Source organism: Homo sapiens, chromosome 1 (genome assembly GCF_000001405.40).
Source record: "Homo sapiens chromosome 1, GRCh38.p14 Primary Assembly".
NCBI lineage: Eukaryota > Metazoa > Chordata > Mammalia > Primates > Hominidae > Homo > Homo sapiens.
The window spans coordinates 148,633,218-148,651,484 of NC_000001.11; the positions used below are offsets into that span (position 1 = coordinate 148,633,218).

General features: G+C 38.3%; 1 protein-coding gene across 13 annotated transcripts in view, besides 1 other annotated feature; it reads right to left on the bottom strand.

Annotated features, from left to right (window-relative positions):
* Nucleotides 1-18,267, bottom strand: part of NOTCH2NLB (notch 2 N-terminal like B) — a 112,254-nt gene that overhangs the window by 32,933 nt on the left and 61,054 nt on the right. For 7 of the 13 annotated variants that reach the window (XM_047420744.1, NM_001395234.1, NM_001364008.2 and 4 more), the window contains one exon: nucleotides 6,799-6,872. In XM_047420744.1, coding sequence (XP_047276700.1) covers nucleotides 6,799-6,872 — 74 coding nt within the window. Of the gene's footprint in view, nucleotides 1-6,798; nucleotides 6,881-9,101; nucleotides 17,632-18,267 lie in introns of those variants that run through there. The other 6 variants (NM_001364007.2, XM_047420702.1, XM_047420672.1 and 3 more) reach the window with 2 other exon arrangements.
* Nucleotides 13,603-14,232: an enhancer, noted in NCBI's record as "NANOG hESC enhancer chr1:145241463-145242092 (GRCh37/hg19 assembly coordinates)". NCBI's record gives its function as "activates a minimal SCP1, AML or CMV promoter by ChIP-STARR-seq in naive H9 embryonic stem cells {active_cell/tissue: H9 hESC(naive)}" and the evidence as "EXISTENCE:reporter gene assay evidence [ECO:0000049][PMID:30033119]".

Here is an 18,267-nt window from a genome sequence, read left to right on the forward strand (position 1 = left end):
AGGAATCAGGACTCAAACTTAAGTCTATCTGGCATAAAAAAAACCTATGTCCTCAGCTGGGCGTGGTGGCTCACGCCTGTAATCCCAGCACTTTGGGAGGCCGAGGCGGGCAGATCATGAGGTCAGGAGATAGAGACCATCCTGGCTAACACAGTGAAACCCCGTCTCTACTAAAAATACAAAAAATTAGCCGGGCGTGGTGGCGGGCGCTTGTAGTCCCGGCTACTTGAGAGGCTGAGGCAGGAGAATGGCATGAACCCGGGAGGCGGAGCTTGCAGTGAGCCAAGAAAGCGCCACTGCACTCCAGCCTGGGCCACAGAGCGAGACTCTGTCTCAAAAAAAAACAACAACAAAAAACTATGTCCTCTTCATGTCACCAGTCAAGGATCTTCCAGGACCCTTACTCCACTCACCAGTGCAGGCTGAACCATACTAGGTCATAAGGCAAAAGAAAAAATCAGTACTACTGATCTCCTTATTTAAAATTTTGATAATTTTCAACTTATTTTGCATTAATTTTGATTTTTTGAACAACTACATACAAACATTATTTTGATTAGTGAGTTTTTTGGCACTCTCTTAAATTTCACAAGAGAGGCCTGTGCCTTACTTGCCTCACCATGGTCCCAGCCCTGCCATTCACTGGTGGCCCCTGTACAGAAGGCCACATTATAGTCAGTTTTTTTCATACTTGGCTTTACTCTGAACCTCTCTAAGAAGCCCAAGTTAATGAACTGGTAATTATTTTATGACTTCCCAAAGAAGTGTGAAATAATATGATAACAATATTGATTAACTGCAACTACTACCACAGACTTGAGTTATCTGTTATATGTGGTACGCATAAATAGCATGCAATAAATAACTCTTGAATTAATAAAACCTGAACATATTACATTTTAAGAAAAGATTACTCTATGAGAGGTATTTAATGAGCCAAAAAAACAGCATTCTTTGTTTTATGTTAAAAAGATAAATGAACTATGGAAAACTGGCCAAGCTTCTGCTATCATTTTCCAGAAAAACTATATACACAATGTTCAGCTAAATAGGCACCGTACTTGAAGGAACTAGGCTGGCAGAACCAGTTTCAGCTGAGACGAAAGAGAAAGTAATTTAACAGTTGATATTTTTCCCTGTCTATTTCTTTGATCTGACAATGCCCCTGTGCCTCCCTGAATGCACTCACAAGAAGGTGAAGGAAAGGGGGAAATGCTGAGTCAGCCATGACTTCTGAAAACGCCTTTTTGGGGGAGAAGCACCACAACAGAAACATTGCGAATGCATCCTCCATAAAAAGCTAAGTTCTAAGGGATTATGAGTGTCTCTACTCTCTACTTACTATACAGACATTTACCAAGAAGACAAAGAAGGCAATGGCTCTAGTTTTTCTTGGATGGATTCAGGAAATCTGGACCACCAACATGACTGCCTAATCCTGGCAAGGAGAATTGTTAGCTGTTAATGTTTAATGTTTATTACAGCTAGCAGACAAGTTTTAGACAAAATGTGACACAAAGTTATATTTTATAACACTTTATATTTATAATAATTTACCTTAAAGTGTAGTTTTTAGATCAGCACTTTAGCAAAAAGTGGACATTCTCAAATGCAAGCACCCATCTACAGGAACGTATACAACTCACGGTGACTTTCTGCTGTTTTACAAACACTATGTTAGATATTTACCAAGTGGTATGTATGAAATTCTGAAAGGCCCCTTTATATTTCCAATTTTCATCATTAAAAATAATTGCAGAGTAACTTATATCAGACTAGCCCTCTTGCTCTGGACAAAATATCAAAGGCACTGGAGAATCACTGAAAGCAGGCATAAACTAGAAGGGATATAAGCCTCAGAAAAAGCGAAGCAAACTATATGAAACCCACATTTACAGTTTTGTTTTTGTTTTTTTTTTATCGTGAAGGTACACCCCAGTTCATGCAGCAGAAGAGGAAGAGTGTGCAAGCAGAAAACGGAAGTCCTGCGATACTGAGGAGTCAGAGGTATCTGGAGCTGTCACAGCAGCTAGAATATGAGGAGAAAAATTCCTGGAAAAGACAGAACCACAGAGTGGGTAGCTTCAAAGTATGCATACAACTCTGCTCAAATCCTTAAATAATTCCTGACTATGCATGAGCAAGATAAGATTCAGAAACCCAAGAGAAAGTAAGAGCTGGACGGCTGAAAAGACTGAGCAGAAGGCTCCTGGGGCTGGGAGGACAAGTTCTGCCTTAGAGGGGCTTAATGAACACCTCAGGGCTTGGTAGGCCCCTCACACTTTCCACTGAACCCCTAGAAGGGTCACATCTTGGGAATAAGAGCCCTATCCCATGACTAAGATTTGTGTCATCGGACTAAGGGCAGAACAGAAGTAGGCCCACCCTAACGTGTCCTAAAACCTAGCATCCATAGGATCAAGATGATCTGCCAATCTTGACAAAATTCAACATTCTTTAGTGGGAGATAAACTTTAAAATCTATCACCCACAATGTCCAGTAAGTAATGTAAAACTACCATACATGTGTAAAGTAAAGGGAAGTCATACCCATGGTCCAAAGAAGGAGCAGTTGATAGAAACAGAAACACATCCATAGACAACCCAGATGTTAAGAACCAGCAGACAAAGATTTTAAATAACTACAATAAATGTCCTTAAAATACATATTTTGTCAATTATACAAATCATAACCTAACCTACCCCCAGAATCCTAGTGAACTTGAGTTGTCCATGATCTTTAATCAAATTGGGATTTAGAATGGTTTATATTTGAAAGTCTGAAGCAAACAACTTGAAAGTGATTAATGACATCAAATTTAATTACATATTTACACCTCCCAGTAGGACAAGGGAAAGAATAAAATATCTTATCTCCCTGTAGTGAGAGGGCTTTATTAAGATTTGACAGTAGTTATTTAACAGCAATAATTGAGTTTTATGCAAGATTATACACGTTCTCCTAATCTGGCATCAAAATCTAATCACAGACTGATAGGGTACTTAGGCTCCTAACAGTGAGAAAAAACAGTGGAGCTGAGTACAAAACTAATCTTCAAAAGTAGTTATCTTCATCTGTCAATGTGATCTTATCAAGGATTTTTATAATTTCTATAAACAATCATTATATTTTAGCTGAATCAGTAGCATTATGCTGTCTAAACAGATAGTCAGATTCCTTCTATTTTAAAACACTTTCTACCAGTTCCCATCCCACCACTCACCACTCACCCCCACGCTGGCCCTGTAAAAGGAATTTGGCTTCAACTTTCTTTTCTTAATCCACTAAGCAATCGCATGAATAAAAAGATAATCACATGCCCTGCATGCCTGATAGAATTTTTATAAATCTTCTAAGTGTTTTAATATTTATTTTCTATTTTGTGAAAATAATATTTACTGAACAAGCTAGATCATCTTCTTTCTCCACAGAAAAAAAGGTAAGGTTGGTGAAAATACACTGAAAGCTCTGCTAGGTACACATTACTTTTGCATAAAATTTTGCTTAAAATTCTGTGGAGGCTGGCAAAGCACTGTAGAATGATTGACATGGCTGCCTTGATATTGTTCTTGCTTTTTCTTTGTCCACTTATGTTGACCCTGCCACTCCTAAATATGCTAATATTACTTTTGCTGAGGTAGGGAATCACTCTCTTTATACAAGTTTTGTTGTTCATCTTGATCTCCCAAAAGGATGGCCTCACCAAATTTTTTCTTTCTCTCAAGGAGTTTGTTTCCCTCAAAACAGGAAAGACATCTGAGGGACATACCCAGAACTGTATCCATAAGCATTCCATCCTATCAACAATTAACAAGTAGCCAGGGACAGAATTTAGGCAGCTCCATTTTCTTTTTTTTTTTTTTTTTTGGAGACACAGTCTCGCTCTGTCGCTCAGGCTGGAGTGCAGTGGTGCAATCTTGGCTCACTGCAAGCTCTGCCTCCTGGTTTCAGGCCATTCTCCTGCCTCAGCCTCCTGAGTAACTGGGATTACAGGTGCGTGCCACCACGCCCAGCTAATTTTTTGCATTTTTAGTAGAGATGGGATTTCACCGTGTTAGCCAGGATGGTCTCCAACCTTGGTTGGAGAGTATGAGACTAGCAGCCCAACAGTCCAACAAAGAACTATTGGACTTCTTCCCAACAGTGACCCTTAGGTGTCCTCTCCTGGTAAGTGCTCAGAGATTAGTCTCCCCTAGAAACCTTCTCTCCCCATGTCAGACCAAAAATATATAGGCGAACACTTAGAACATATTTGAAATTCTCCATATATAAGTCACCAAGTTGAATGATCTTCAAATAGAACCAATTTGCCTCTCTGTATGGTATTACCACCCTGAATGCTATGTGAAATACATAAATTTTTTTTAAATTTTGCTTTTAAGTTTTGGGATACATGTGCAGAATGTGCAGGTTTGTTTCATAGGTATACATGTGCCATGGTGGTTTGCTGCACCTATCAACCCGTCATCCAGGTTTTAAGCCCCACGTGCATTAGGTATTCATCCTAATGCTCTCCCTCCCCTTTCCCCCCACCCCCTGACAGGCCCCAGTGTGTGATGTTCCCCTCCCTGTGTCCATGTGTTCTCATTGTTCAACTCCCACTTATGAGTGAGAACATGCCGTGTTTGGTTTTCTGTTCCTGTGTTAGTTTGCTGAGAATGATGGCTTCCAGTTTCATCCATGTCCCTGCAAAGGACATTAACTCATTCTTTTTTATGGCTGCATACTATTCCATCGTGTATACATGCCACATTTTCTTTATCCAGTCTATCACCGTTGGGCATTTGGGTTGGTTCCAAGTCTTTCCTACTGTAAATAGTGCTGAAGTAAACACACATGTGCATGTGTCCTTATAGCAGAATGATTTATAATCCTTTGGGTATATACTCAGTAATGGGATTGCTGGGCCAAATGGTATTTCTGGTTCTAGATCCTTGAGGAATCGCCACACTGAAATTTTTAAAGGAGAGAACCAGTGTCTTCTTATTTAACATAAATAGATAAGAAACATGTGCATGACGGTATCTACTTAGCACCTTTTAGTTTAAGAAACACATTGCTGAACAATAACTACACCAGGCACTGTAATAGGCATTAACTATGCAAAAAATGCATAAGACTAAGACCTCACATTCTAGCAAAAGAAACACATCAACAAATGACCATAATGCAATGGGGTTAACTACCACAAGAGTTGCATAACAGAATAAAGCAAGCAACTAAGGCACCAAATGCCACAAAAAGACTAAACAAGATTTCAGTGGCCTACTCTAAGGTATTAAGTTCCCTCCCTTATTATCTCCAGTTGTATCTCCATTCTTAGAGGAGAATGCACCACATGTTTTTTTTCCCCCAGCTAGAAAAACTAAATGAGCAGCCCATAATAAGCTACATAAAACCTTTATTTCCAATGTTATCTTTACTCCAATCCAAACAACCTATTGTTAAGCTTTACTGTCATCACAGCTTAATTTTCACTTTAGTGAAGAAAATTATTTCTGACTTGAAAAAAAAATCTTGTTTATAACATTAAAAAACTAAATCCTAGTGTCAGAACAGATCTCACTGGAAAAAAGTTGTAATTACATTCCTGGTAAGAAATAAAAATGTGTTGGATAAACTCACTTAAAATGCTTACTAAGCAAGTACCTCCACCAAAGCAAAGAAGAACTACTCCTCACAAAAATGAAGGAAAAGAAGAGAAATTTCATATTACCAAATTTTATTTCTCCAGCATCTTCCCTGAAATAAACAGAATGGATACATATTCCTCTTAAAAATTTTCAATTGAGGCAGAAGAAAAAAAATTATTTGCAGGAAACCTAGAAAAGCTATTATGAAATTATCTCACAGCCTTCCTCAAACAAACAAAACGTCTTGGCTAGAGTAGATGGTTGGAGAAAAAGGAAAAAAAAAATGCTCTTAAGCCAAGAACTAGCCTACATTTTCCTTCATCCTTACTCTTTTATCCCCATATAATAATACACACCCAAAGCCCCTGCTCCCCCTCAATCTACACATATGCACACATCTTCCTCTCTCACTGTCTCACTTTCAGAATTAGATTTTTTACACTAGAAAAAAATATGAATATAATATTCACATATACTGGGCCGAATATTAAAGTTGATATCTATTTGGTTTTACTTAAAAACAAGATAATAGGTAACATGTTAAGGGGAGACTCTAAGAGTATTCCTTAATCTGAAAAACACAAGGGAATCTAATATACATTTTTTTATTTTTTTTTATTTCTTTTTGAGACGGAGTCTTGCTCTGTCACCCAGGCTAGAGTGCAATGATGTGGTCTCAGCTCACTGCAACCTCCGCCTCCTGGGTTCAAGTCATTCTCCTGCCTCAGCCTCCTGAGTAGCTGGGACTCCAGGCATGCGCCACCACACCCGGCTAATTTTTGTATTTTTAGTAGAGATAGGGTTTCACTATGTTGGCCAGGCTGGTCTTGAACTCCTGACCTCGTGATTCGCCCAACTCAGCCTCCTGAAGTGCTGGGATTACCAGCATGAGCCACCATGCCTGGTCTACCCCATATACATTAACTAGCCACTCACTGAAAAGTCTTTTTCATAGTGAGAAAGATAACAGTAAGATAGTAAGAAGTTCTTATTAGCCAATTATCTGGCATCCACATCCTTCCATCCTCACCCCCAACCAAAATCTGTACCAGGAAAGCTCAAGAACCAGTAACATTCCACAGAAGCATTAAAAATAGAGGAGTAGAATCAAATCTTGTCCAGTGTTCTATCGCAAAAAGAAAATATATGAAGAGAAAAACTTACTTGCAGTATCCTGTGCCATTGTGGTAGGTAACACACATTCCTTCATTTACACAGGGTTCATAGCCATCTCGACACTGCAATGCCAAAAATAAAAACAAATGCACATTAGAAGTAAGTCACTAATCATAACCCTCAGACACCAAAGAAGTGTAATCCAATCCAGATCAGCATTCATTCCCACCTAATCTGGGTTTCTTTTTAGAGTTTTAATCAGTTTTTTATGTTTTGGCTTCTAGCACAGAAGCCCATCCCAAAACTATCTTCCAACAATAACCACGTTTGTGGTCTTGAATCATGCTCTTATTTCTCTGTGTTTCAGTATCTCCAGCTGTTACATCTCCATCTCCCAATTAAAAATTAAAGCCATACCATCTATGACATGACACATCATCTTGGGATTTAGATACTTCAGATGAGTATTATAAGGATTCATCAATGAGTGTTTAGGAAAATGCTAGATAAATAATAGATCACCATTATACTGATGAATTACTTAGCCTTCAGGTGAAGTTTTAAAACAGACCGCTTCAAGAAGTAATCAGAAACAGCAATAACAGTAATTCGACAAACTAAAATTGAGAGCCTAGTATGCACCAGGCACAAAATTAGGATCCAGAAAAAAGGAGAAATGGAATACATAAATAAACGAATAAACATAATCTCTAGCTTTAAGGGGCCCATAAAAAGATGGGGAGTAGATCATGAATAGAGACTGCAGAGAGAGTATCAAAAGAAATAAAAGGAGAAGGCAATTTTATACATACAGATAAAACAAAAATTCTCAAACTGTTGATTCCCCCATTCCCTTTAAGAGACAATAAAAAGGCACTTTACCATCTCAGGCCCTCCCAAAAACAGACTTTTCAGAGAAAAGAACAAAAACAACAGCAATAGTAGACATTTTCATTGATTTCAGCCAAGAATGGAAGAAGTCTACTCGAAATCTGCTAATCACTTGCTGGATAATTACAATATCTTGATTGTTTAGCTTTTAGAGTTGAAATTTTCATCACCAAAATACATATCAAGAACCCTAACAACTGGAAAGGTAAGACAGAAAGAAACCTAGTCAAACAATAAATATCAAATTGAAGCTCATGAACTCTTTCTTGGAAGTTATTAAGATGTCCATCTCTTATGATAGTTAATGTATAAATACCTGAAAGCAAAACTGAGAAGTTCCCCCCTCCAAGTTTCCTCTAACCACACCACTCTATGCATAAATTGTGCAAGATCAGAGACGCTAGGCCTGGCCATCCCTGGCCACGAAACCAGTAGCCCAGGTGCAAGCTGGATGTCAGAACAACTCCTCCAACAACAATTACTGCATAAAAGCCCAGTATTGTATCCAGTAGTAGAATCATTTGAGAACATGTTTACAGAAAATGCATCCCATCCTTGAAATAGTATTTTTAAATGGTAATAGTAATAATAATAGGCTAACACATAGAACTTACTAAATACCAGGCACTATCCTAAGTACTTTACATAAATTAGCTAACTAATTCAATCTTCACAACAACCCTTAGAAGTAAATTTCATTATACCCATTCTCAGGTGAGAAAACAGGGAGGATAAGTGGCCTGCCTACTGCCATGCCAGTGAGTTAGAAAGCTAGAATTTGAATCCAGAGACTCTGCCCTTAACCACCAAGATACACTGCTTCCCACTACCTGAAATTTCTCAGGATTGGCAGGGTGGATATTATTATACCCATTTACCAATAGTAGAGGCCAGAGAGAATAAGTGGCCTCTTTACGGGGCATCGCGCCACTAGCTGGTGGCAGTGCTGGGCCTAGGACCCAGGTCTCAGTAAAAGTCCAACCCATCTCTATGACAGCTGTTGGGATCACACAAAGAGTCACCAGGCTGCAGGCCCAAACAGGCAAATTCAGGAAGAGGGTCATCTTGTTGTCCATATCCCACTTCCCTGTAAGGCTCAAATGCTCCCTCTTCCCACACTGATAAGCCCAATGCAACAACTATAATTAAAACAGTTAATGTCAGGTTATTTCCTCCATACCAAAGTTCTCAAACTGATTTTTTCATTCTCTTTAGACACTTTTATTAGTTTCAGTGAGAACTTCCGGGGTTTTTTCTATTTACTTTTTTTCTTTAAATAAAATAATAAATAAATAAAACCCTCACAGTAGGAAAGGAATGTCCTGTAGGCACAGAAAAAGCTGTAGCTCTGTCCCCCTGCAGGAATCCTGGTGCAGTGGAGGGACTCAGGAGACCTGAAATCCTGTCTGTACCCCTAACTGCAAGCAAAGCACAACTTCATGGGGGCTCAATTTCCCTACCTGTACCAAGCTGAGAGCGAACTAAATGTCCCTAAAGGTTCCCTGTGATCCACCAGCGACAGCTCCCTCCTTATAAGTACATGAATGGCATGCCCAGTGCCTGAAGAAACCTGGAGTACATAATGACCCAGCCACCCATGACTCAGAATGCCATGGGTGCAAAAATCACGGCCTGTTCCTATTAAGTGTCCTGACAAATCATTACAGTGACAGGTTCAGAGAAATACAAACAACCCAAAGTCAATATGTAGCAATCAATCTAGCAAATAACTTTACAGCCTAGCCCTAGTGAACCAATCAAACTCAGTGACTGAAAAGAAGGTGGGCTTACCAGGCTAATAATTAATGCCACTTGGCTGATGTGTGGGATCATGCTACCTTGAACCTTTAGCATTTACTGAGCCACGGTTCTCAAACTTTAGTAAGCATTGGAATCACTTGGAGGGCTTTTTAAAAAAGAGTGTTAGACTCGACCCCCACAATTTCTGACTAAGTCTGCAGGGAGCCTGGGAATCTGCATTCCTAACAAATTCCCAGGTGATGTTGATACCACAGGTCTGAGGAACCACACACTGACTATGACTATATGAACGCTTGAGTGTCCACTTTTAAAAATACTCAAAAGCTATATAATATAGAGGTCTTAGATGATTTAGATGATAACATATCGTCTGAATAAACAGGATGTGGAGAAATGGAACCCTTCTACTCTGTTAATGGGAATGTAAATTAGTACAACCATTGTGAAAAACAGTGCAGACGTTCCTCAAAAAACTGAAAATAGAATCACCACATGATCTGGTAATCCCACTGCTGCGTATTTACCCCAGATATTTTAAATCAGTTTATTGAAAAGATGTCTGTACACCCATACCAAGTTATGGAAGTGTCCATCAACAGATGAATGGATAAATAAAAGGTGGTAGATAGGCCGGGCACAGTGGCTCACGCCTATAATCCCAGCACTTTGGGCGGCTGAGGCGGGTGGATCACGAGGTCAGGAGTTCAAGACCAGCCTGGCCAAGATGATGAAACCCCATCTCTACTAAAAGTACAAAAATTACAGCACGCCAGTAATTGCAGCTACTCAGGAGGCTGAGGCAGGAGAATCACTTGAACCTGGGGGGCGGAGGTTGCAGTGAGCCGAGATTGCTCCACTGCACTCCAGCCTGAGTGACAGAGAGAGACTCCATCTCAAAAAAAAAAAAAAAAAAAAAAAAAAAAAAAAAAAAAGCTGTGGTAGATACATAAAATGGAATACTATTCCACCTTTAGATATAAATTCTGTCATTTGACACAACATGGATAGAATTGGAGAACATTATGCTAAGTGAAATAAGGCACAGGAAGACAAATACAGCATGTTCTCACTTATATGTAGAATTGAAAACCATCAAAATCATAGAAGCAGAGAGGAAAATGGTGGTTACGGAAGCTGTGGGCCTGATGATCAATGGGTACAAAAAGCTACAGTTACACAAGAAGAATTTTTTTGTATATGTTTGAGATATATTGCATAGTGTGGTGAATATAGTTAATAATAGGGTATTATACATTTCAAAATTGCTAAGAGAGTAAATTTCAAAAAATGTTAAATATTTGAGATGAAGGATATACTACCTACCTTTTAATTGTTCTACATTGTATTAGCAAATTATAACATCACTTTGTACCCTATAAATGTATACAACTATAAACTGACAATTCTAATTTTTAAAAAAGAAAAATAATCTTGAGACTCGTGGCTTTACTCAGGAGCAAAAATGAATACTATAATTATCTTCCATACAAAGAGAAATTAAAACTTTGATAACCTGAAGCCATGAAAGTGAGACCGGGACAGACCTCATTTCAAAATTCAATTTACTTTTTTCCAATGTAAAACACTTAAATTTAACAATAAAATTGAAGGCAGCTTCATGCTTATAAAGTAAAAAAAGAAACATTAATCATACCATAGAGAATTGATGTTTAAACTGATGCTTTAATAGACTCCAAGAAACTAGTCACTCACAAAGAGTCACATTTAACCCCAATTTTCATGTCAATAAATACTTGCTGGCTGAAATAAATCTTATTTACTGTGTGTGTATCTGCTGTTTGTGCAGGCCCTCCTCTACTCCACCAAAAAAAAAAAGGCAAAAAGAAGTAGTAGATTTCAATCTCATCACTCCATCATTTGGCAATATAATACAAAAATCTAGAAGCCAATTTCCAATTTTCATACACTTTCAGTGCAGTGCATTTGGGAACTAGCTATCTAATATTCAGAACATATTTAGAAAGCATCTACTATCGGCAGGCACAAGCCCTGATGTCAGGGATACCGTAGTATACAGAATAAACTCCCTGTCCTCAGGAACCTTATTTCTATAAGAGAAAGGTGGCTAAAAAATTAATAAATAAAATAATTTAGGACAGTAATAAGCGATAAGTTCCATTGGAAACAAAACCCAGTAATGTATAAAAAGCAATCATGAAGGCTGGGGGTGCAGGAGTGTACCTCAGATAGTGTCTAGGAAAGGCCTCCCTGAGGAGGTATGCTTTGAGCTACAATGTAAATGAACAAGTGTCATGAAGATATGAGGGAATAGCACCCCAGGCAGAGGAAACAACAAGTGTAAAAGCCTTGAAGTGGGAATTAGACTGGTATTCCAGGTTCATATGGCTAGAGGTTATTAAGCAAGGACAGAGGCCAGGGAGGCAGGCTGGGGTTAGATCACAAGAGCCCATGATAAGGATCACAGCTCTAAGTAGGAGAGTAAACTGCTCAGCTGTTTTAAATAAGAAAAATGACACAGATTTATGTTTGAAAAAAGTCAAGATTATGAAATGGTCCAGTGAGTAAAAAGGTTTTTCTTTTCTTTCTTATATAAGCTTATTCAAGTCATCCCTTTTTAGACTAGACTGAAGACATCCATTTTCCCAGCTCCCCAAAATGGCAATGATTTTATTCTAACCGCATCTAACCTTCCAGAAGCACTACTTGTAACATGTTGCCCCACTACTTTCTAACCTACAATGGCTGTCAGTTCTTACTTAGTTCTCAGAACTTAGCCTCAGTTTGGCTCTCCTAAGAACCAGTTGGGAGGTCTGTGCAGTACCTTCACACAGTACCAAGTTTGACACTTTTTCTTCCAAGGACAAGCCATTTCTTACTTTAACCAGTCTAGGCTCCCATGCTGGCCTTCCAGATCAGAGCTTACCTTACGTGCCCAGTATTACTCCCCACCACTTCCACTGCATTCTCTGCCCAGTTTATGCCCTCTTTCCTGAACAGATCGTCATTGAACTCAGTTCCATTCCTCCATGCATGTCTGTGTTTCCACTGATTTCTGCCTTCCTCATTACTATCTAAATTCTACCCATTCCTTCAAGGCCCAGTTCACCTCTTGCCTCACCCAGAAAGCTTCCCCTGGAGGGTTCTGGTCCTCACAGGGCCACCCCCCCACCCATCCTTGTAACACTCATGACTCTCAATTCAGCACTACAGGGTCTTCTAGCTCTCTGCTTTTTCACTTTTAAGTTCCTGGGATATGGAAAACATTTCGTCTTTTCTGAGTATTTGAAGCAATGCAGTTAAGCAGTTGAAAGCATGGATGCAGAAATCAGACAAATCTGGGTTTGAATACTAGCTCCACCATTGACTATCTCTGTATCTTCTTTGTGCTTGATACAGTTTGGCTATTTTGTCCCTTCCAAATCTCACGTTGAAACATAATCCCCAATGTTGAAGGTGGGGCCTACTGGGAGGTGTTCAGGTTATGGGGGCAGATCTCTCATGAATAGCTTGGTGCCCACCCACAGTAATGAGTGAGTTCTCGCTACCATGTGAGCTGGTTGTTTGAAAGAGACTGACATCTCTCTTGCTCCCTCCTCTCTTGCCATGTTACATACCTGCTCCCTCTTCACCTTCAGCCACGAAAGTTTTTTGGGCCCTCACCAGAAGCAGATGTTGGCTCTAAACTTCTTGTACAATCTGCAAAGCTATTAGCCAAATAAACCTTTTTTCTTTATAAATTATTCAGCCTCAGGTATTCCTTTAGAGCAATGCAAAACAGACTAACATACTTCTTTTAAAAAACTATAGCACTGAAGGCATAAGGAGAAGTGATCCACTAAAGGTAAAATAAACAATATATGTGAGCAAAAACTCAATTTTAATACAGTTCCACTAATATTTGTCGAGAAACTACTGTCAGCATTGTCCCCTACTAGGCACTGCATGAAAACTAAGCACAAATAAAACAAACAATCTCTGTCCTCATGGTCCTTACAATCTAATGAGAAGTTGGGAGTAGGGGCAGAGAGAATGTGACCTACCCAAATGACTCTAAGATAAATACAAACAAAATAAAAATTGCCAATATATACCCTTGGCATACCCTCTTAATACCAATCTTGGAATCACTCCAAAAAGAACTTTTAAGAAATACAATAGGAACCCTTGATGTTTAGCACTAACTGTAACTCAATCCAGACAAGGCTCTTTTATTTATTCAGGTTTATCAGCCCCAATTATACATCAAAACTGCCAACAACAGAACAAGCTGCCATTGATTTTAACCAGTTCCAGCGCCTCAGAAATTTATTCATTTAAGGATAAGGCTAAGGTATCCAGACTTGATGGACTCTTCCTTAAAATTTCCTCTAGGCATTTACCTAGGTTTTCCAATGCTTTTCAATATCATACCAGCTACATATCACTGGCTTAAAAGCCTCCCTTTGTTTTAGGAATCTCTAACATGAGTAATTAAGTCTGTACTTCAGCCAGTGTAATCTGAGCAGCCTTCAATGTGTTTTACTTGTTGCATTAACATGTAATCGTTTTAAACTGGCATTACTTGTTGCTTTGTAGCTTCTTCAAATAAGCCTCTGTCGTCTATCTCACATGATTTTTTTCATATCCTTCTCCCTATCTGCAGTGTGGTATCTGTGCTTAGACCCACTGCTCAATCGGAAGGTATTTTAATGTCTTGACTGTCTGAGGCTCCTAAAATACATGAAGAGGAGTTATACAGGCTCTTTTAACTTTTTCTTCAATGTTTATGCAAATTTCAAGTAGCAATATTTGAGAGATGAAGTCTGAGTTTACGCCCTAGGATCTTGGCTGTGGTTGGCTGCTGTTGATTCTGGCACATGGCCTCTGGAAGAGGCTCAGTAAAATGAACAAAGCAAAGTTTTCTAAAATGACTGCCTGCATTATTACCAAAAATAGGAGAATTGAGGGCAGACAAAGAGACATCAGGGATTTGCAATAATTCTCATAGCGCCCTGCAATTTCAAACAAAACTTTCTCTAAATTTTGTATTCCATTTTTTGGGATCAAGCCATGAAAAAAAAATCCAAACAAACAGAAGAAGTGCGGAAGCTTCAAATCCCAAGTGGTACATTTAAATAAAAACGAAGCGGAGAAACATGTCTTCCTCCTTGAAATTTGTCTTGATTAAAAGGAAAAAAAAAAACCAAAAAAAAGCAATAAGAGATAAATCGATTTTGTTTTCCTAATAGTGTTCCAAGGATTTATGTGCTCTTTACAGATATTATCATATAGAAAGTGTGTTTTCTACCTAAGAGATGCTAGTATCAGATCCAGATATTAAGAACTGGGCTATAGGGTCATAGCAAATTATTACTGCTTTTCAAAAACTGAAAATATACCTTAAGAAAATATAATCAACGATAACAACTTATAAATGAATATTTTTTGTATTACTAACAGACTTTTCATACTATAAAAAAATCATTCCAGTTAGCTGATAAATCTAGAATAATTTTTGGTTTTAAAAATTCCAATTTTGTTCTATTTTATAATATTGAACTCATTGCAAAAAAAATTCATCAGTGTTTGCTGTGCTATATTGAAATCTACTATACACTGTGTAGTTTTTCCTTTTATTTTTCTCTTATTAAAGACTTCAGAAAAAAATTCAATTTATGCATGGGTTAAATTTCAATACCTGGATCTTGGAGATGAGACTAATGCATTCAGCTCTTCTACATGAAATATAAGGTTTGAAAAATCCACAAATACTTACAAATTAGGATGTAGCCAATTTGCTAATAATGATCACCTCTATACCCATGTACATTCTTTTACCTGAAAAATATTTTACCTCCTTTTCCTTTTTCTCTATCTTGCTAAATTCCTACTATATTTCAAATCACAGATAAAGCATTATTTTCCTGAAGAAGCTCTCAGAGACCCACTGATACAGATGTTCCTCTTCTGTGCTCCCATTTTATCCTAGGTAGATGTATTATAAGTGCTGGCTCACTCATCTCTCTCTCTCCCACTTCTAGGCAAATTCCATAGAGGCAGTAACCACAATTGGCTCCTCTTTGTACACCTGGGACCTCAGAAGATGCCTGGACCACAGCAGGTACTCAATACTCAATAAGATATTCAATAAACTAAATATCTATAATTAAGACAAAACCTATGAATAAACCCAACCTTCAGCTTGCATGTTTATGTGTGGAATTTCACTTTGTGTAACAAATTAGAAAAGTAAAATAAGAAAGAAAAAAATGCTGCAAATTTCCAGGCCTTTAACAAGGATGAAAAGTTGAGAAAGTAGAATTGTACTTTTCTAATCTTTGCAAAACTAAAACAGTTTTGAAAGTTCCTTTCTTACCATTTGTTTGAATGAAGATACACTCTCCACTCTTAGCCTCCTATAAATCTTAAGCCATGTGTATTATGGTAAAAACTAGCTGAAATAGGTTGAATGGAAGCCAAAATAATTTACATCTAAATGAAAAACATAGAAAACAGAGTAATAAAAAAATTCCAACTGAATGGGAAAATTCATTGTATAGTATTATCTTCCCCATGAGTAGGTTCACTAATACACATCGGCAGAACAATAAGCACCAACGAGATCCAAATGACACTGACCAACATGATCACAGTTTACATGTCCAAAAGGTTCAGGATCTCAGTGTAATAAAACCCAACAGAGAGGAAGAAGCTGTATCATATCTAGAAATTTAATTATTCTCTACAAAAAGTGCTATATATTTGTGTGCTGCTTAGTGGTCAAAGAAAGTGAATATGAAGTGTTATTCCATGTCTTGTCTTATATCTTGTATTATCTGTTCTGTTCCACTATCTGTATTTGTACTATTATCAAGACAAATTTTGCCTGTCACCAATTTCCTGTGCTTTTAGTAAACTCCCTTTTTAAAGCTTTTTTTTTTTTTTTTTGAGATGGAGTCTCGCTCTGTCACCCAGGCTGGAGTGCAGTGGCGCAATCTCAGCTCACTGCAAGCTCCTCCTCCTGGGTTCACGCCATTCTCCTGCCTCAGCCTCCCGAGTAGCTGGGACTATAGGTGCCCGCCACCACAACCGGCTAATTTTTTTTGTATTTTTAGTAGAGACAGGGTTTCACCGTGTTAGCCAGGATGGTCTGGATCTCCTGACCTCATGATGCTGGGATTACAGGCGTGAGCCACCGCGCCCGGCCTTAAAGCTTTCTAAAGATTATTTTGTTAAGTACAGCTTAGTTTTTTTAAGTCCTTAATTTTAAGTACATGCTTTTAAGTACACTTGCTGGAAAAAAATTTATAAATATATATAATCTTCTTGCTATACACACAAAAGAAACAACATATTCTTTTAGCTTAAATTGCTCAGGACACTTTTTAAATGGAGTACACAATTTCTCATGTTTGTTAATTTAGAGGTAGACACCCAAACAGAATGAATAACAAAATTATGTTAAAAATGAAAATGGAAAAACCTAAGATTGCTACATATTATTATATAAAATCATGGATACTTCCTAAAACAAAACAGGGAAAATCCAAAGAACAACCTCAGATTTCCCTACATGCATCCTTCCTCATAGCCTTTTTAAAACATCCTTGGGTGGTAGCAATGAAGGCTACTCACAAGGATGGGGACAGAGGTCATCAGGGATACCATAATCAATGTACTGTGCAAAAATAGTGCAGAGGAGATTGGTTAGTCCTACATAAAGTCCAACTACATGTATGGCTAACTATTCTCAAGTCAGGGTTCGCAGAAGCTAAGGTCCTAACATTTGGATTATTTTTATATTATTATCTGGATCAAATAATATGCCTTCAGCCAAAATCAAACTCTGTTCACCTGTGAATAGTATTCCTGTACCCAAATTCCTGTACACATCACTGAGAATTGTCTAAACCCAAGTGCCTCAAAAGGTCCTAAACCCTTGACTCATAGCCAGGATATTTCTTTTTTTTTATTATTATACTTTAAGTTTTAGGGTACATGTGCACAACGTGCAGGTTTGTTACATATGTATACATGTGCCATGTTGGTGTGCTGCACCCATTAACTCGTCATTTAACATTAGGTTCTAATAAGCTCAGAAACTAGCACTGTGAGGGAAATATCTAAATATGGAGATTATAAATGCCTATCATTGCCATTTCCAGAGAACACACCTGAGGCCAAAAACCTTGGAACAGAGGAAAGCAGATAATAGAAAAATATCAAATCTTTATTAAATACCAAAGGGAGAAGAAAACATAAAATATAGCCCTAAACGGCCAGGCGCGGTGGCTCATGTCTTTAATCCCAGCACTTTGGGAGGCCGAGGTGGGCGGATCACGAGGTCAGGAGATCGAGACCATCCTGGCTAACACGGTGAAACCCCATCTCTACTAAAAGTACAAAAAAAAAATTAGCTGGGCATGGTGGCGGGTGCCTGTAGTCCCAGCTACTAGGGAGTCTGAGGCAGGAGAATGGCATGAACCCGGGAGGCGGAGCTTGCAATGAGCCGAGATTGTGCCACTGCACTCCAGCCTGGGCGACACAGCAAGACTCTGCCTGAGAAAAAAAAAAAAAAAAAAATATATATATATATATATATATATATATATATTCCTGAACTTCAATTTTTATTTATTTTATTCTCCCTTGCTTTGTTTCTTCAGACATACAACTATGTCCCACATCAACACAACTTGGGTCTCCTGGTCAACAGAAAAAAATAATAATGTGTACTTAATGATATTTGATGAGGAGCTGATAATCTCAATGTCCAAATCAGTTCCTCTTAAAAACGCCAGTCCTCCAACTCCATCAGCCTTTTGATTACTCATATTCTTTCTTTATTGTAAATGCAAGCAAGAATTTATCTTCAAGACTACTCAGATTTCTGCAGAGTTGTAG